At 47.0% G+C, this 19,534-nt stretch overlaps 1 protein-coding gene across 18 annotated transcripts in view, besides 1 other annotated feature; it reads right to left on the bottom strand.

Annotated features, from left to right (window-relative positions):
- UNC13B (unc-13 homolog B) overlaps positions 1–19,534 on the bottom strand; it is a 243,327-nt gene that overhangs the window by 13,248 nt on the left and 210,545 nt on the right. For 10 of the 18 annotated variants that reach the window (NR_170667.1, NM_001387551.1, NM_001371189.2 and 7 more), the window contains 13 exons: positions 16,887–16,961; positions 15,841–16,060; positions 14,393–14,620; positions 13,652–13,793; positions 11,449–11,618; positions 10,873–10,988; positions 10,369–10,532; positions 9,581–9,731; positions 7,774–7,842; positions 6,275–6,364; positions 5,795–5,923; positions 2,115–2,242; positions 1,374–1,459 (listed from right to left, as the gene is read on the bottom strand). Coding sequence is in view for 17 of the 18 variants with exons in the window: in NM_001387551.1 (NP_001374480.1) it covers positions 1,374–1,459; positions 2,115–2,242; positions 5,795–5,923; positions 6,275–6,364; positions 7,774–7,842; positions 9,581–9,731; positions 10,369–10,532; positions 10,873–10,988; positions 11,449–11,618; positions 13,652–13,793; positions 14,393–14,620; positions 15,841–16,060; positions 16,887–16,961 (1,768 nt within the window). In the remaining variant the exon portion in view is untranslated. The remainder of the gene's footprint in view (positions 1–1,373; positions 1,460–2,114; positions 2,243–5,794; positions 5,924–6,274; positions 6,365–7,773; positions 7,843–9,580; positions 9,732–10,368; positions 10,533–10,872; positions 10,989–11,448; positions 11,619–13,651; positions 13,794–14,392; positions 14,621–15,840; positions 16,061–16,886; positions 16,962–19,534) is intronic. The other 8 variants (NM_001371186.2, NM_001387554.1, NM_001387555.1 and 5 more) reach the window with 3 other exon arrangements.
- Positions 18,265–18,817: an enhancer, noted in NCBI's record as "OCT4-H3K4me1 hESC enhancer chr9:35373268-35373820 (GRCh37/hg19 assembly coordinates)". NCBI's record gives its function as "activates a minimal SCP1, AML or CMV promoter by ChIP-STARR-seq in naive H9 embryonic stem cells {active_cell/tissue: H9 hESC(naive)}" and the evidence as "EXISTENCE:reporter gene assay evidence [ECO:0000049][PMID:30033119]".

The following is a 19,534-nucleotide window of genomic DNA, read 5'->3' as shown; positions in this document are numbered from 1 at the left end:
TAAAAATTAAGTAGTTTGGACCAAATTCACAGTGCTACATAGGCGGTGAAATTGAGGTATGAAATCAGGCCAACATTAATTCTTTCTCTTAAAGTAGAAGTTTTCAATCCTTTTGTGTTTGTTTTAAACATTAGCAGAACTCCCCTTTCAAAAGAAATCTCAGCTAGAATTCCATGTAAGATTGATAAATGCAGGGCTGGCTGAGCTGTCATCATGCAAGAGGCCTGGAGCCTAGCCTCTGGGTTTCCCCTTCAACTTAGCTCCTAAGATACTTCTGTTTGAAAACCTCTGCCCCACCTCACACTACTTCTCTTGTGGAGTTGATTCACTTTTCACAGGTGTTTTCTCTTTTCCCCCAAACCCACTGGAGCCAGAGTTCTTCAAGAACTGAGACTGTACTCCCCATCAGGCTCACTAAGTGGCATCTGGAGGGAGAGACCAATGACCTCCTCCCTGGCCTGACAGCAGGCAGCCCTGCTCTGGGCTTGTGTTACAGAATGTATGCGTGTAGTCTGTGGCTGGCTCAAATGTAACACAGATCTTCAAGGTTTCTTTCAATCTCAAGACTCACTGATTCTAAACCTCACACATTCAAGCATCTGAGGGTGGCTCATCTGCCCTGCCATCCCACCCAAATAACAGATCCAGACTCTGCTTTGTCCTTGCCCAGATGGCTCCTCCTCCTCCTAGATGGGCTTTCACAGACTGAGTAGAGAGACTACCACACATAAAATGGCAGGAAACGCTGCTAAATAGGTGAGTACAGATGGGTACAGATAGGAAGGTCTAATACAGGTATGGAATGATATCTTTGTGGACCAAGGTAGGAAATGAATAAAAGAACAAGCTGAATGAGTAAGATGAATAATAATTTGCCTGTGGCCCTGCTCTATAGGAGAAGTGAGGGAAGAAGTATCTTCCTGGCATTGTCATACTAATCCAGAGCAGCTTGCAAGAAAAGCCAGGCCAGAGAGTCCCCAACATAAGAAAACAATTACATCTATCTGTGTATTTAAGGTTCTCTGATTCTTTAAAACTGAAGTTTCCCAAGACCATTCTCCAGGAAGTGGGCCACCTAAGAACACCCACCATGGGAGAATTTCATCTCTGGGCTGGGAAGGTCTTGAACAGGCAGTTGCTCCAAAGCTGGAAGGAGGAAGCTACATCCACACAGCCATTTTCATATGTCCTTTGGCTGCAACTTTGCCCACCCAAGGTCTCCCGGGGCCTACATCCCACTAGGCCTAGAATTCCTTTAGTTTCTCACTATACCACTCACCCAGAACTTGTAGTTGTCTAGAAGAGGAAAGGGACAGTGAACGAGGAGCTTGGGCTAGGAGCCTGGCAGCCCACTGATTTGAACAGATCCTTACCCTCCAATGCATATTTCATGTCTTGGGCAAACAAATGCCACATCACTTCTGCGCTGACTTTTCCCACATTCAACTCCTGAGGAAACCTGGATGACAGAAGAAACCACAGTCAGAGAATAAGGCAAGAGCCATTTGATTTGATTCATTTCAAGGCTAAAGTGCCTAGTTCTTGGAAGTCATATTGGAGAGAGGAGATGCTTAGGGAACAGGGCTAGGTCCAATCTGGAGAAAAGGGGCCCAGGGGCCAGGGGCCAGTGGCAGGACAAGTGAGGGCAGAAGGGATCCCCATAGGCAAGATGGGCCTGGGGGCAGAAGATGCCCAGAAGGCAGGGAATTGAGAGGTAGAGACTCTCCAGGCAGAGGCTGGAAAGCAGGCGCAGGCTAAATAAGCTGGAGGAGAAAGGGCAAGTGGGGGTGGGCTATAAGAAGGCCCACTTCATTCACAGTGGACAGACACATACACACATGGTCTCTGGATCCCCTGGGGCTCCTATGGCAGTCCCAGTCCCAGAAGTCTCTCACTCCAGGGAAGCTGGCTCAATCTGGCCAGGGACCCCCATTATGTTTCCACACCTGTCTCCAGAAACAGTTACCCAGACAGATACAAGGGACAGAGGGACAGATGGATGGACAGGAAGAAGAGGTGGCACTGCAAACATACAGAGACAGGAAAGAAAGAGGTTGTTAGACAGATGGACAGACCAACCACCAACAGACAGGGCCAAAGAGGGTGATACTCACTGGTTCAGAACAGGTGTGTAGGAATTCTTATCTTCCTCTATGATTGACACGATGAGTGTGATGAGCTTGGGCCAGAAATCCAGGTTCCGAATGCTGGGCCCTTGTTCCTCTGGAGGTAGCTCCTGCTTCTTGATCCAGAGGACACAGTGAGAGAGAGGGAGAAAGAGTCAGAGTAGAATGTAGAGGGTGTCTCCAACGATCCTCTTTCTCTTCCCCTTCCTATACCTCTTCCTCTAGAATCAAGGACCTTTCCTCTCCTAGAGCCTGTCTTCCACAAGACTATCCCTGTTCTGTAAGAGTGACTATTGTGAGATCCCTGAACACAGGGAGCCTATCGCTGAGAAGTTCTCTCTGATAAACTTGGTCAGTCCAAGAGACATAAGGATGCCCATCCTCCTTCCTTCTCTCAGTTGCTATGGGCAGAGTAACTCGCTGGCTAAAGGAAACAGCCCCTCCAGCCTTACTAAATAGGTCTACTTCTATGCGGCCCCTACAGGCAGGCAGCCCTCCTCTTCTGGTGGTATTCCTCTACTGACAGCACACCACGACCACACACATACACATCTCAGCTCTGAGAAGCTCTTTCAACTTCTGCAGGAGCTACTGAACAGATCTGGTGCGCATTTCAGCCTTTCAGTGGAGTAGGACTTCCCTTGATCCCCTGAAGTTATTAGGGGGAAGAACTGCATCTAGGAAGCTATCTGCCTAACTAGATAAGATAGGGCCTTACTTGGGAAGAGGCAAGGGAATACAATGGTGACTTTCAGGTAAAGAGAAATCACTCTATATTCACAGCCCAGAAAAGTGAAGTAGGAGTCACCACAGGGAGGGTGGAACACACATTATCTCCCACTAAGTCAAAGGTGAAGGTGGAGCTGCCCAGAAGGACAGGAACAGGGCCTTTATGTGGGATGTCATATGTCACTGGAAAGCTTCCACAGTCCTTAATAAGCCTGCATTATCAAGAAGTTCCTAGAAACCAGGACAGAATCTTTAATATAACTTAAATACATCTCTTCCTTTTATTTTTCTGTCACTGTCCTGGCTCAGGCTCTTATCATTCAAGGATTTCTGAACTGGTCTTTGATCTTCAATCCAATCCCTCCTCCTTGCAGCTATCGTGATCTTTCTACAAAGAAAATCTCAATGTGTTACTCCTCTGCTTAAAGCCCTTCAACGGCGTTCAATACAGTTTAAATTCCTTAGTTTACACCTTCCAGAATATGACTCTCAACCTCATACCTTACAACTCTTTTTGTTCCAGCTATTACCACACCACCACCACTTATTTACTGCTTATTATGTGCCGCACACTCTGCTAAGACCTTTACACACATTATCCTATCTAATCCTCACAACAACTCCATTTAGTAGAAATTATTATCACCTTCATTTACAGATGAGGAGAGTGAAGGGCAGCAAGGTTACATGACTTGTCCAAAGTCATGCAGTTTTAAAGAGCAGAACTAAGATTTGATCCCAGATAGCTGAATCCCACAGCTGGATGCCGTAAGTACCCTAAATTGCTATACTTCTTTATCTTATTTTTATTTTGTCTTTTTTTTTGAGACGGAGTCTCACTCTGTCGCCCAGGCTGGAGTGCAGCAGCACGATCTCAGCTCACTGCAACCTCTGCCTCCTGGGTTCAAGCAATTCTCCTGCCTCAACTTCCCAAGTAGCTGGGATTCCAAGCACCCACCATCATGCCTGCCTAATTTTTGTATTTTTAGTAGAGACAGGGTTTCACCATATTGGCCAGGCTAGTTTCAAACTCCTGACCTCAAGTGATCCACCCGCCCCGGCTTCCCAAAGTGTTAGGATTACAGGCTTGAGCCATTGCGCCCGGCCTGCTTATATTTCTTTAAATTAACAAGCTCATACATAATTCTGTGCCTCCAAGCATTCTATTCTCTCTGTGGTATGCCCCTTCCCTCCAGCCCCTTTCTTTAGTTAATTCCTACTCCTTCCTCAAAATTCAGATTGAACTTTGCCTCTTCTGAGAGATTTTCCTGACATCCTTGGTCTGGGCTCCCACAGCACCCTCTGTGAACCTTTGGTGTAGATGTATCAGAAAACTACAACTACAATAAAACATAGTAACAACAAAATAACAACAACAAAAAAACAATAAATGTAGTAATTTGCCCTGACCTCCACTAAACCATGAGATCCCCAAAGGCTGAAATGTCTCTTACTCAACTTTATGTCTCTAATGCTCTGTTAAGTAAATGAATGGACGAATAAACCAATGACTGAAGGTCAACAGATGGAAATTTTAAAAGACATCAAGAGTTTATGCCAGTGTAAATATGGAATAAGGAAAAAATGAAATTGAGAGAAAGTAAAAAGCAGATACTAAAATACAAAGGCTAAAGAGTATCCCTGAATAGTTTATGAGAACAGTGTCTTTCCTCAACCAGAGACTTCATAGACAGATGACAGAGGAGCCTAGAATGTATCAAGTAAAACAAAGGCCTCAGGAAAACCTCCCATGGATTTCAGAATCAACAGGAGGCTTTAGAAACCTTAAAAGGAAGAAGCCTTAAATACATGGCTGGCACAGAAAGTACACTTGGGAATGAGAAGAGGCAGTAGGAACAAGATCTTAGTCTTTATGAGGGTGTTCCTAGGAAGCTTTACAAATTGGATGTAGTTACTTAAAGATAAATGTCCAAGACATTTAGGTTGTCCTGCCATCATTGGTTGTCCAAATCCCACTGCCTTTTAAGGTCTATCTCAAATGTTCCTTGTTTTATGTAGCTTTTCCTGGTATCTGATCAAGAGTGCGAAAAGACTCTTCCTCCTTGGAATTCCTTTAATCTTATCCCTTTTTCAAGGCCCTTCAAACAGACTCTTTTGATTAGAGTTATATATATGTTTATGAGACTGCAAACTTACTGAAGGAGCACTGTGCTCTCCTCAGACCTGGCCTAGAACAAACATTCAATATTTGTTGGACTGAAGGGAATCCACTCTGCAAATGTATGGTCAGCAAGAAACTCCTAAGATTGGAACTGTAATTGAGTAATTGGAGCTAGAAGTAAGTTCTGGCTTTCAAATAAGTTGGGAGCATGGATCGGGGACACTATTAGAAGGATCTGGGAAAATGTACTAAGTCACCAGGTACTGACTTAGGGTGCCAGGCTAAAACAGGTGAAGTAGCTCAGCCTCACAGAAGGATAGGGTCAGTCTTGATAGCCAGTGGATGAATACAACCCAGAAGAACCACACATTTCAGAGAGAAGTAATTAGAGGGAAAAGTAAAGCTTCCAGGAGCCAGCAGCTCAGAGACCACTTCAGATCTCAGAGGAAGGAAGCCCAGAACTTACAAGAGTCTGCAAGAGTCAGAATAAAGTTAAACTTGAGGGAGAAAAAAAGACTCTGGGATGGACTGAGAATTCCCCTACTCAACCCCTGAACTGTGCATGAATTTAGGTTTACTTTCTTCAACATCATTATTGTTGCCATTTCTGTTCAATTCAGGTATGTCTCATCTTGCCCAGGGGTCTCTTTCCATCCACATATCTCACATGGTCCACATGGTTCATACTCCACAACTCACTCACCCTTGAGAACATCAAGTACTTTGTCCTGAGTGCTTTTCCACCACCATCATGAAGGAAAACTGAGGCTCCAAAGAGCCACTGACAGCTGGCCCCACCTGATCCTGAACCTCTTACCAGCTGGTACTGGCGGCTGTATAAGTCGTGGCAGTTGTTGAAGATATATTCATATGTGGAGTTCAAACAGGCCTTCACACAATCCTTTACCACCTGGCTGGCTCTTGGAGGGCTTTGCAGTTCTTGTACCTGCCAATTAAAAGAAGAAATATGGGCCCAAGGACCTGCTCACCTGGGTGGGATATTCTCCTAGCACTACCCCAAACCTACTCTAGATTCTTTCATCCCTGTCTGGGTCCCTAGACTTTTCCCTGTGATGAAATTGCCAGGATAGTTGACAGGGAAAACTTCCACCCCATCCTCATGGATCCATAGTCTATGTGCTCTCTCAGAAGTAACCCAGGGAACAGGTACACAGAAATGTAAGCTTAGAGGTGATGAATCCTGTAGCCTCAGACTCTGCCCAATGATTCTCATTCTTCACGTTCCTGTAGCCAGGTCTCCAGCCCAGCACCACCCAAGCCCCAGTCCATTTCTTACCTTCATTCTGAAGAAAGTAATGCTGGTCAGCAAATCCACTGTGGATTTTAAGTCCTGAAGCCGTTCAGGACTCCCAGCAGGGAAATTATTCTGTTGCAAATCAAGCAAATGTAAGAAAGGAACAGAGGACTATGAAAACCTTCCCTGCCAAAAGTGATGATATCAAAAGCTTCCCTAATTGTTACCTACTGGGTTTTTCTCTAGTTGAGCTGGCCAAAAACACTGTAAAGTTACAGGTCTCCTTCTCTTTTTTCTATTGATGCAAACAGGCTCTTGCCAAAAGCAGGGGTTAATACTCCCCACCCTAGAAAGTGACACATCCTCCTCCAGCCCTACTTCCCATGCAATGTATAAGCACTTGTACAAAGGAACACACAGGCACACACAAACTTACACACATGCTTTTTTCTTGGATGAAGATTCTTACACACCAACAGTGAGTTCTTCGAAAATTACAATCTAACTGTATATCCTGGAATATAAGTGGAGCCACACTACAGACCAAACTGAGGTCCAGGACCTGTACTTTTTGTACAATAGAACCCAGCTCTTCTACTGTTCTGCAGCCAGCAGATGGCAGATCTCTGAGCAGAACTGCTTTTGGAGTGAGTTCCTTAGGAATTTCCAGCCATCCTTACTTCATTCACTTTGGCACGAGTCTTAGGAGGGAGCTGCTATGAAGAGCTGAAGGGAGATGCTGAGCCTGTCTTCACATTAATGGTCAGTTTTTAAACCTTCAAATGGCTACTTATATGCCAAATATAAGATATACAGTCAGCTGTCCATTATTTGTGCAAATGGAGGGCACTTGAGTGCAGACAATTAAAACCTCATTTCTTTTTGACTTTAAGGTTGTTTTTATACTTACTTTTTAATGTGCATATATTGCCTGTTCTGAAAATTCACACACTTTAAAGCAAGTAATGAAGCCATTTCTAAGATCTAACATAGGAGGAACTAAGAAACTGCCCATTTCCTTATCCTGTCCCGTCCCAGTAACCATCCTCCTACTATACCTATTTCCTCCCTTTATACTAGGAATGGACATGCTCTCTGATACAGATTACTTGCAAAAGCCAAGCTACTCTCTGTCCCCTAGCCAGATTCTCACACCTCCGCTGGAAAACGAGGAGAGTATGGAAAAATGCAAAAAAGAAATGTAATTAGGTATCTAATTTTTTAAAAGGATACTCCTGGAAGAGATTATCCTCAGGAAACTCCCTAATGAGAATGTCACCAGAGAGTTTAGTAGAGTGTTAAGAATGAGGTTGGAAAGACAACTGTCTATAAAAACTAACCATACCTGCTGCTATTTATACACCACATGGTCCCTGGAGTTAAAAGAACCACAGGTGTCAGTAGCATTGGCCATTTGGGTGGATGTGATGACACAGACCAGTTTTCCCTGGCCTCAATCTTTATAGCCAAGATTGGCCTACAGTCTCTCTGGGACCGTGCTTGATATCTATTATCCTGCCCACAGCCGTGTCTTCACTCACCCTGTATGTAGAGAGGTCGATCCTCAGTGAGTTGTGTAGCTGGTCCAGCAGTTTTACAAATCTCTCTTTCTGAGGGTGAGAAACAAATAAAGGGGAAGAAAAAGAGAACCTGTGTCTGAGTCCCCTAAACTATAACAGAAACAGAACCACCCCTGGATGAGTAGAAAGAGTCGGGAGGCATTGGGTTGGAGACACATCCCTGCCCATGGGAAGAACAACAAACAGTGTAACGGAAAAAATGAGATAGAAAGTCCCTGTTCTATCTCTTTGCAGCTCTGTCCCAATCTGGGAAATCTCACACTGACAAGGAAAAAGCCAAGTCCCTGGGGGGAGAAATGGCTCCTTCTATATGAGAGTCAATAGGGCATGACCAGTGCATCTCTATACCTTTGGGACTGTAACTTATCTTAGTTAGATAAGAAGAAACTCCAAACACATTCTCTCTTGAGTCTGAGGTCTCCTGACTTATCTCGGGGTAGTGCATAACAGTTATACAGCCACAGCCTAGCAGTGATGATAGGAGGGAGAATCTGATGCATATGAAAGATAACAGGACAGGCAGGAAGGGGTCTCTCTTTAAACCACATTCCACACACATTTCCCATAGTGTATACTTTTTAAATGTTAAAATATCTAACATATACTATTTTAATAGCTGATTTTCATAGAAAAAGTATAATTAAACGTGGAATCATATGCCTGCAGGATGTTGGCATCCCACTCCTAGAACTCATATATTGATTATATGAGTAGATGTTGATTAAGTCAATACATAATGAGATGAGGCAAAATGGAACAAATATTTGACTGGCTTAATAAGTTACACATCTACAGAAAGGCTCTATCAACAACAAAAAATTCATTAGTACAAAAAAGTCAGATTTCATAGACTCAGTGAATTGGGGTGATATCAGTAACTTTATGCCCAAAATGGTAATTTTTGTGTTGGGTCAGAATTATTTTATCTAGTTTATACTGAATTAATGTCAGGTGACATTCTGAGTAATGACTCAACTTCTCAGGTACCTTAACCCAGGAAGGGCACACCCTGGATAGGGAAAACAGTCTGGACACTAGAAAAGGAACAGGTTCAAGTGCACACTGGCATCATTGCTTAGACATCAGTCTCATATCAACTCAAGTAATATGAATCCATCACAGACAGACTGAACAAGATTTTTAAAAATCCATTTGTGGACCTGCAAGACTGAAGAATATGGAAGACTATCGTAATTCAACCAAGTTGTTGGCCCAGAGGGGTTCTGGCCAAGCCCAGGTGGTACCACCCCCAACCACCTTCTCTTCTTTATCTGTGTGTGAGGAGAGGCTATTAGTATAGTCCGCATACCCATAAGGAAACAGGAAACAAGATTCATCTATCAAAATGGTAGCTATCTGAATTTTAAGCACATCAAGTAACTCTATAGGACCAGCCAAGAAAAATCAAACTTGGCTGGGCACGGTGGCTCAAGCCTGTAATCCCAGCCCTTTGGGAGGCCGAGGTGAGTGGATCACCTGAGGTCAGGAGTTCCAGACCAGCCTGGCCAACATGGCAAAACCCCCATCTCTACTAAAAGCACAAAAATTATCCGGGCGTGGTGGCGGGTGCCTGTAATCCCAGCTACTCAGGAGGCTGAGAAAGGAGAATCGCTTGAACCCAGGAGGTAGAAGTTGCAGTGAGCCGAGACCACGCCACTGTACTCCAGCCTGGGCAACAGAGCGAGACTCTGTCTCAAAAAAAAAAAAAAAAAATCAAACTTTATTAATTGGTAACAAATGCAGACATATGTGTTTACATGATACTTACCCCAAAGTTGGAGGCTGCAAAGCGATCAGATGCAGAGACATTGGTAGAGGCAGTTGTGTGGGCATAGTAGGCGTTGATGTTGGCCAGTAAGGTGCTCATCACTGCTGGCACACCAGGACACATGTACTTGGATGATAAACATGCAAAGTGCCTGAAAAACACAGCACCCGCAGCCTCAAAGACTCTTCAGGGCTTGCAGCAAAAGCCAAGCAGGAACTCTAAAAGTTTATGGGATAAATGAAGCACAGCCAGGGCAATTGCTGCCCTCTCTTGCCTAGGGCTACTTTCTGCACACAGCTCTAGGGGCAGCCTCACTGACAGAAAGGCTACCCTGCTTCTCATAGCAATCTGGAATTCCCATTCAAGGAGTCCTGGTCAACTCCATACACAGCTGCTTTCCCTGCAGTTTAGTGTTCTCTTTGAACCCCCAGGCCAGTCTAGGCCAGACCGGTTGTCACAAACACATGTACACGAGCACACATACCCTGTCTGCTCAGGCCTGTGATGTCTAGGCAGGTTGTCCTTGCATACTCTCACATGCCTCTTTCCCTGCAGAGTTCCCTCAACTCTGAGGCAGACAGAAATACCTTTTCTGTGAGTTACAACATTCTTTTTCTACATATACCCTTCTTGTCTTGGGGCATAGACCCATCTCACCCAGCTCAGAGAGGAAAGTAAAGGAATCACTGCATGCTACCTCACTAAGGACCTGCCCACCATGTCAGTGTGCCTTAATTAGCCACCCCAGTGATTAGTAGCCACTTCCCGGTGCCGCAGCAGAGACTCACGTCATGGCCTGATATATGGACTCAATGCCATAACGCATGGCAAATTCATCCACAATTTCTTGGGCTGTCTCATCAAAGTACACCTTCCAGGCATCGTCTCCTCGAGCTTCAGGGATGCGGACTCCTCCACTGCCCTGAATGTCTGTGAGGTAATGGAAAAGATTCTGCAGGAGACAGAGCAGAGAAAGGGAATGGGTTAAACACATATGAAAGACAAAAACAAACTTGGTGGTAAAGCCCAGAAGAATGTGCACAAGGTCCCACAGAAATTCTGTCCTTCCAGTCATTGCTCAGTTCCTCCTGTGGCCCCAGTAGGCTGTTCTCACATTAGTGGAAGAGAATGCAGTCTGAGTTCAGTCACTCGGACTCTCCAGGGTAACAGAGTGAATCAAGGATAAAATTTAAAATGGGCCTCGGATTCCAACCACCTAGCAATCCTACTTATGGCCAAAGGCCTCTCCCAGCACTGCTTTCTGATCCCCCACCTACCAAGGGCTGGCTCACCTCATGGAGACATGTATACTGCACGTGGTATGGGGCTACTTTCTCCTCCCCCTTGATCTCCACACTGATTTGTAGTCGGATAGCCCCTGAGACGGCTGATTTGTCTGTCCTCTTCTCTAGGAAGGAAAGAAGACTGGAGATTGACACCAATGCAACTAGACAGCATAGATAGTTCCATTCTGGCTTAACCCAAGGAAGAGAAGGGGCCAACCCAAGGAAAAGAAGGGGCCAACCCAAGGACTCACCAAATAGGGTGAATCACTCCAGTGACCACATATTCCACAAGTACCCTTGAACTAGCTGGGTAGGAGAACAGGAGTGTGGAGGGGGGACAAAAGCACTAGTATGAAGATTAAAGGGCCTTCTGAAACCTAGAGAACATTCAGCCAGAGTGACTCACAGCCACTGCCACTCCTCTGTCCCCCATCCCTCCCCACAGTCAGTTCTTTGCAGGTGAGACAGGCTCTGTATAGAGGTATGCTTTGGGGACAGATGGTGGTTTTGGTAGAAGGACTATTCCCAGGTCCCCTTCATGCTTTCCCTTCCAAGCAACTTTCTCGGGTCCAGTTTCCTCACCCAAGTTGTACCAGACGTCCATCTCGCCACTTAGGGTCCGAACCTCAATGATGGTTTGGCCAAGGAAATCATCAGACTCTCGCTTTAGGCGTTGCTTTACTCTTGACTTGATGTCATCATCCTCATCCCATACACGCACCTTAATGCGGTCAGAGGAGTTGTGGCACTCACTGTGAGAGAATTAGGCAGGCTCTGTTAGGGGCAGACCCAGTAGCGCCAAATCCTGTTACTTCCTATTCCCTCCCAAAAGCTCCGACAGCTGCACTTGAGGCCCTGAAAGAGGAGAAGTCAGAGGACAGCAGTACAAAAGTTCCAAGAAAGTTGGGCTATCCTAGCAAATGACTCTTCATTCCTCGGCCTGGGTGGCTCTATCTACCACTGTACAGTTCTTATTGTCCTAGAACAAAGGGCAAGGGGTGGAGGGAAGAGTAATTCAGGTCAATTCTGACTTCCTATACAGCTAGCTGTATCAGCAACACCAAGAGGAAAATAGCTAGACATGCCACGGAGCTCCAGGAAGCAACTGCTAGCTCCATCCTCAGAGCCCAGGACATGAAGTCAGTAAAGGTGCTAGACATGTTCATGGTAGGCCCATAGGGTTATAACTGTTTGGCTTTCTATCTAACTCTCTCATCTGCCTAACTATGTGCTTGGTGAACTTCTATATTAGCCTATCATATCCCATTGAATTGTCATCTCGTCTATCGGGTTTGCTTTGGAGAAAGGAGTTTTCCCAGGTCTTGTCTCAAGCTCTCCTCTCCAACAGTTGCTTTCTGGGATCTGTTGTTTCACCCAAAAGTTGTAACTGGCAAAATGTGCTCTTACTTTCCCTATGTTCTTATGTTATCTTTCCACATTCCATTAAAATATTACAGTATAACCACTGCTCTGTGAGAAGATAATAGACAAATCAACAAGGAGCTTCTTGAAGCCAGGGATTGTTCTATTCATTTTTGGATACACTGTATTATGTATAGTGTCTTGTACAGAATATGAGCTTAATAAACTGTTTACTAAAAGTGGGCAAAAATGACCAAGAGCTAGTTCATTTTAAATTAGTCATAAGAAGAATTCAAGCAGGAACTATTCAGATTCTCAAACAGGTGTTTCTCCTGGTAGCTATTAATATTATCTCTGGATTAGAGATGAATTTTACTATATCCTAATCCCTTTTTTTTTTCTTTTCTTTTTTTAGACGGAGTCTCACTCTGTCACCAGGCTGGAGTACAGTGGCATGATCTTGGTGCACTGCAACGTCTGCCTCCCAGGTTCAGGGGATTCTCTTCCCTCAGCCTCCCGAGTAAGCTGGGACTACAGGCACCTGCCACCATGCCTGGCTTATTTTTGTATTCTTAATAGAGATGGGGTTTTGCCATGTTGGCCAGTCTGGTCTGGAACTCCTGACCTCAGGTGATCTGCCTGCCTCAGCCTCCCAAAGTGCTGGGATTACAGGTGTGAGCCACCACGCTGGCCTTAATCCCTTTCTGAATCTTCTGAGGAGCCAACAGAAGGAGGCCTCTACATAGCCAGCCTGCTTGGCTGATTCAAATCCAAAATCCTGACCCTAGGCCTTATTAGGGAGCGACAAAGCATGTGGATTCTCAGACATTAGTTTGCCATTTTTCAATAACCATCCTTTACTGTCATAAGAAATAGTTTGTAAGAAAGTGAGATAATAAAAAAATGAGTGAGTGTAGAAGCTGAGGCAGGAAGAAACACTATCTTTATGGGAAACAGCATCTTCTTCAGAACCCAGATTTCCACTTTTAAGCCAGAATTACCCAGTTTTAGGACAAGGACACTCCCTCCCCACTCCTTATAAGAGCCTTCCTTATGAGAGCCTAACCCTACTGTACCTTCCTAGGCAAGGGTAGGAGGTACAATAAGGCAGTCAGTCCCTGGTTCTGTCACTGAGCAGTAAAGTAGTAAAATCTTTCTACTGCTAGAAAAAGCAGGATGGGGTGCCCTAGGGCCCCTTTAATAGCCCTGGTGAAGACAGGGCATGGGCACAGTAATCCTGACACAACAGCTCATGAGAAGAAAACCAGAGAAAGAATGGCTGATGTCTGAACGAAGCATGCGAGAAATGAGTTTTCTCCCCTGCCTTTGCCCAATCTTCAAGCTCAAGCCCAGAATGGCAGGATGTGATCCTGCTCCCCCAATACACACAGTCCCAGGTAAGACAAAGCTCTCTGTGACTTACAAATGGAACTTCTCCTCCCAAACAGGATTCAAGTTTCCAAAAATGGTCTTGGTACGCTTCTTAGTTTTGCTGACTTGCACAGTCACGTAAGGGTCACTGGATCCTGTTTTGTCCTTGGCTTGTAGGCCCTGGGCACACACCACTGCAACCCAAGCATGTATAGGAGGCTTCAGAGTCGTTCAGAAGCCCCCCACAACACTACTCATATGCTTTCCATCTTAGAGCAGTCTATGCTCCTTGCACAGATACCGTAATCCCATTCCTCCATATTTATTCTTTGTCCTGGGCCACCAGCCTTTCCCTTAAAGCCCAAGCATCCCATCTCCCTACCCAAGCCCTAACTGACCACTTATCTCTATATTGATCTTTACACCCTCTGATATATACATGCTTCAGCCCCACCCAGTTAGCAAACCACTGGTTAGCTACTCCCTGGTCCCCTGCCCTTCCCCTTCCCCCTCCCCCCACCTCTTATAATATCAAACTGTTAGCCAAGTCTACAGCGTTAGGTTGTTAGCAAATCCTTGTATTATGGTTCATGTTGTTTGCAGATAGCAATCTTGCCTCTCCGGCACCAGGGTCTAGGTAAGGAGAAGTGATTAATAAAGAGGCCTTTCCTTCCCAGTGATTTCCTTTTTCTTTCTCCCTAATCCCTTGCTCCCTCACGCTCAGGATGTTTCTTCCCCAGTCTCCTCCCCATAGCCCAGGCCTTCCTGTCCCCTCAAACTGTGGCCTGCTCACCAGTAATGGTGATCTTGGCTGACCATTTGGAGGTGCCATCCAGTACACTCTGCTTCACTGTTTTCATCTGCTGCACATGGGCAGCTTTGTTCACTGTGAAGACGTCCCGGATAACTTCAAAGATCTCTGGCTTATTTCGCTCTCGGATCTTCATGCGGTCCTTCATGGCCATGATAATGTTCTGGGTCCGGTCCTCAGCTCCATGTTTACAGCTCTTTTCTGCAGCCCCTGAAGGTGGCCAGGAACACAACAGGTCACCTACCAGACCAAGGGTTGAGCTGAGGAATGGGGCCTGGGAGAGGCTGCAGAGCAGTGGAGAAACTATGCAGCCAGCCTGGTTGCTAGTTCTCAGCAATTAAGCAAGGGCCCTCTGGCACCTGCACTTGCCACCCCTTCATGATGGATTTTGGCCAAGTCATTACTAGCATTTGTCTTCAGGCAGTCTTTTCAGAGCCCATCTCTTCCGCTGACTCTGTCCTACCTGTCTCTTCACGTCTAACCTAGCCTTGCCATTGGCACCAATTTGAGGCTCTTCAAAGGACATTTTCCATGAATAATTGCTCAAGGCCTCTCCCTGGTCCCCTTTTATATGTCATAGCTGTCCTTGGGATAATGAAGTACTTGTGGGTCTAGAGGTGACCTTCCCTTCTCCTAGCACAATCTTTAAAGCTTTCAGTGCTACAGCTTGGCTTGTGGGTAATACCTGGGAGGTCTGGAGGGCAGGAAAATAGTTTCCCACTTCCTTCACCCCTGCTTTTCCTGGGGTCCAGCCACAGTGAGTGCAAGGCCAGCAGGAGGGGAGCAAGGAGATATGAACTTTGAGCGCTACCATTTCCTCTAACAAGAACTTGTTGCTTTTCCTGCTCCTATTGTCCCCACTCCATCATGGCAGGACAAGTCATATATTTAGCCAAGGCCCTGGGGGTCTGGTATACTCTCCTCTTGGACCTCTACCAGATTCATTTGACATTTCTATTTCTGGCACTATTGTCTAAAAACAAGTAATGAATGCTGCCTTCCCTGAGTCCTAGATTCTAGGCTTTAGGAGGTTCCTCTGTGGGGCCTGGAACCCCACAAAACTCTATTTCTTTCCTCTCATTAGCCTCAGATCCTGATGCTTTTGTCATTTGGACAATAAGGCCGCTGTGCTGTATACACTACAAAGCTCAGTCTCTGGGATCAACTGAATCCTATAAGATTCTAGCTACACTACCACAGAAAGCTCAAAGAATTTTTCCTAAAGGTGCTTAAGAAGGTAGTGTAAGACCTGTTATTTGGAAAGGCAATGCCCCTTGATTCAGAATCCTACCTTCTCTGAAATGGATAGGGTTTCAGAATCAGGTGGACTGGGGGAATGATTGGTTCAGCCATCCCAGCTCTTTGCTGCAGACTATTTTGGAAAGCCCCTGCTGCCCCACTCCCCGCCCCTCATCCCGCAGGGCACTCACGCTGCAGGCAGTCAGCATTGAGCAGATCCTGGCACTTCTCATGGCACTTGACTCCACATTCGCTGCAGCGCATGCCCTGCCGGGCAATGCCCCAGAGCAGGCCTTCACACTCATAGCAGTAGGTTGGGGTAGTGGCCGTCCAGACCTCAAAGTTATGAGGAGTGGTGCACGAAATGGGGTAGATTAAGGCCTGCAGGGTTTTCTTATACACGTGGGATTTCTGAAAGACACATACCCCATCCCATGATTTTTGTTTTTTGTTTGTTTTGAGACAGAGTCTTGCTCTGTTGCCCAGGCTGGAGTGCAGTGGTATGATCTCGGCTCATTGCAACCTCCACCTCCCAGGTTCAAGCAATTCTCCTGCCTTGGCCCCCAAGTAGCTGGGATTACATGCACATGCTACCATGCCCAGCTAATTTTTGTATTTTTAGTAGAGACAGGGTTTCACCATGTTGGTCAGGCTTGTCTCGAACTCCTGACCTCAAGTGATCCACCTGCCTTGGCCTCCCAAAGTGCTGGGATTACAGGCATAAGCCAACATGCCTGGTCCCCATGACTTTTGGGTTCTGCAGGGAGATACCAGAACTGAGACCCTGTGGGACAATCAGGACCTTGATTTCGTGTCTCCTCTGGCAATGAAGAAGATGCTCTATCCTGGCCCAGCCCAGAGCCCAGCATAGCAGAATGAGGCCCACAATATAGTGTGCTTCTGGTTGTCCAACACAGGTTGGACCTGATGCTGGATCCGAGCCTTGTTCCAGCATTCACGCTTTCTAAGAAAACAGAAGGTACTAGGTCCATCATAAAACCTTGAGTTCAGTGGTCACACCCTTCAACATGAGACTTGGGCTTACTCTCTGATCTAGACTTGCTTAGAGTCTTTCCCAGTGTGGAAAACTAACACCTGATGCTATCTATCTTTTTCATCAGCAATGTGTGTCCAGCACTCTTGAATTCCCAGAATTCCCAATTATTAATAGCATGGCTACAGAGATGATCACCAGTCCTGAGGCCAGTGGACTTACGAAAGCACTTGGGACACTTACCAGCTCTTCGTCCTTAAGAGAAGTGCGTGTAGCCATTGCAGAAGTGATTCCTGCCTTCCGAGACTGGACCAGTGACTGTCAGGGAAGATCTGCTGTTAGCCCTGACCACTGCCAAGGGCTGGCAAAGTCTGGGGGAGGGAGCTTCAGTGACCAAAGCCACTTGACTATAGCTTACTACAGTACTTTCTATTTTTATTGTCACTCACAGCAACCGCCCTAACAGGTGACAAGTGTCCCAGGTTAAGATGCAAAACCCAAGGCCCTCAGGGGGCTGCTCTAACTATGTTAGAACAGCACTTTCTTCAGGGTATCTATCATCCAAAGAGTTTCTTTTTCTTTCACTCTTCTTAGTGTCCTACCCCACAGAAACTCCTTGTTTATGGGAAGGCAAAGGAAAATGAAAAGCTTAGAACTATAGTAGGAAACAGGTAATTAAGAATAATAGAGACACACAACTCTGTCAGAGTCACATTCAAGAGCCATTATGGAGAAAAATGATTCCATGCTAACCTCTATACCTTGGCACCTCCCCAAGCCCACATAATCCCTGGATGGCTGCAGAGGCCAGCAGGCCTACAAGTAGGGCACTTGGCAAGTGAAAAGGGCATTGAAGCCTCAGTCAAATCAAGCAGGACAGAGAGTTAAGTCTGAGAGCTGGGGCTGCCTTGCTAGCCACACTCTTGCATAGGGGGCCCCATGTATCTGCCAAGCCCAGAGAGTTAAGTCTGAGAGCTGGGGCTGCCTTGCTAGCCACACTCTTGCACAGGGGCCCCATGTATCTGCCAAGCCCAGAGAGTTAAGTCTGAGAGCTGGGGCTGCCTTGCTAGCCACACTCTTGCACAGGGCCCGATGTATATGCCAAGCCCAGAGAGTTAAGTCTGAGAGCTGGGGCTGCCTTGCTAGCCACACTCTTGCACAGGGCCCATGTATCTGCCAAGCACAGAGAGTTAAGTCTGAGAGCTGGGGCTGCCTTGCTAGCCACACTCTTGCACAGGGGCCCCATGTATCTGCCAAGCCCAGAGAGTTAAGTCTGAGAGCTGGGGCTGCCTTGCTAGCCACACTCTTGCACAGGGGCCCCATGTATCTGCCAAGCCCAGAGAGTTAAGTCTGAGAGCTGGGGCTGCCTTGCTAGCCACACTCTTGCACAGGGCCCCATGTATCTGCCAAGCCCAGAGAGTTAAGTCTGAGAGCTGGGGCTGCCTTGCTAGCCACACTCTTGCACAGGGCCCCATGTATCTGCCAAGCCCAGAGAGTTAAGTCTGAGAGCTGGGGCTGCCTTGCTAGCCACACTCTTGCACAGGGGCCCCATGTATCTGCCAAGCCCAGAGAGTTAAGTCTGAGAGCTGGGGCTGCCTTGCTAGCCACACTCTTGCACAGGGGCCCCATGTATCTGCCAAGCCCAGAGAGTTAAGTCTGAGAGCTGGGGCTGCCTTGCTAGCCACACTCTTGCACAGGGGCCCCATGTATCTGCCAAGCCCAGAGAGTTAAGTCTGAGAGCTGGGGCTGCCTTGCTAGCCACACTCTTGCACAGGGCCCCATGTATCTGCCAAGCCCAGAGAGTTAAGTCTGAGAGCTGGGGCTGCCTTGCTAGCCACACTCTTGCACAGGGGCCCCATGTATCTGCCAAGCCCAGAGAGTTAAGTCTGAGAGCTGGGGCTGCCTTGCTAGCCACACTCTTGCACAGGGCCCCATGTATCTGCCAAGCCCAGAGAGTTAAGTCTGAGAGCTGGGGCTGCCTTGCTAGCCACACTCTTGCACAGGGCCCCATGTATCTGCCAAGCACAGAGAGTTAAGTCTGAGAGCTGGGGCTGCCTTGCTAGCCACACTCTTGCACAGGGGCCCATGTATCTGCCAAGCCCAGAGAGTTAAGTCTGAGAGCTGGGGCTGCCTTGCTAGCCACACTCTTGCACAGGGCCCCATGTATCTGCCAAGCACAGAGAGTTAAGTCTGAGAGCTGGGGCTGCCTTGCTAGCCACACTCTTGCACAGGGCCCCATGTATCTGCCAAGCCCAGAGAGTTAAGTCTGAGAGCTGGGGCTGCCTTGCTAGCCACACTCTTGCACAGGGGCCCCATGTATCTGCCAAGCCCAGAGAGTTAAGTCTGAGAGCTGGGGCTGCCTTGCTAGCCACACTCTTGCACAGGGCCCCATGTATCTGCCAAGCACAGAGAGTTAAGTCTGAGAGCTGGGGCTGCCTTGCTAGCCACACTCTTGCACAGGGCCCATGTATCTGCCAAGCCCAGAGAGTTAAGTCTGAGAGCTGGGGCTGCCTTGCTAGCCACACTCTTGCACAGGGGCCCCATGTATCTGCCAAGCCCAGAGAGTTAAGTCTGAGAGCTGGGGCTGCCTTGCTAGCCACACTCTTGCACAGGGCCCCATGTATCTGCCAAGCACAGAGAGTTAAGTCTGAGAGCTGGGGCTGCCTTGCTAGCCACACTCTTGCACAGGGGCCCATGTATCTGCCAAGCCCAGAGAGTTAAGTCTGAGAGCTGGGGCTGCCTTGCTAGCCACACTCTTGCACAGGGGCCCCATGTATCTGCCAAGCCCAGAGAGTTAAGTCTGAGAGCTGGGGCTGCCTTGCTAGCCACACTCTTGCACAGGGGCCCCATGTATCTGCCAAGCCCAGAGAGTTAAGTCTGAGAGCTGGGGC

The sequence above is a fragment of the Homo sapiens genome, chromosome 9 (assembly GCF_000001405.40).
Source record: "Homo sapiens chromosome 9, GRCh38.p14 Primary Assembly".
In the NCBI taxonomy this organism is placed as follows: Eukaryota; Metazoa; Chordata; class Mammalia; order Primates; family Hominidae; genus Homo; species Homo sapiens.
The sequence above is the reverse complement of the archived record's forward strand: the minus strand, read 5'-3'. Positions and strand labels throughout refer to the sequence as shown.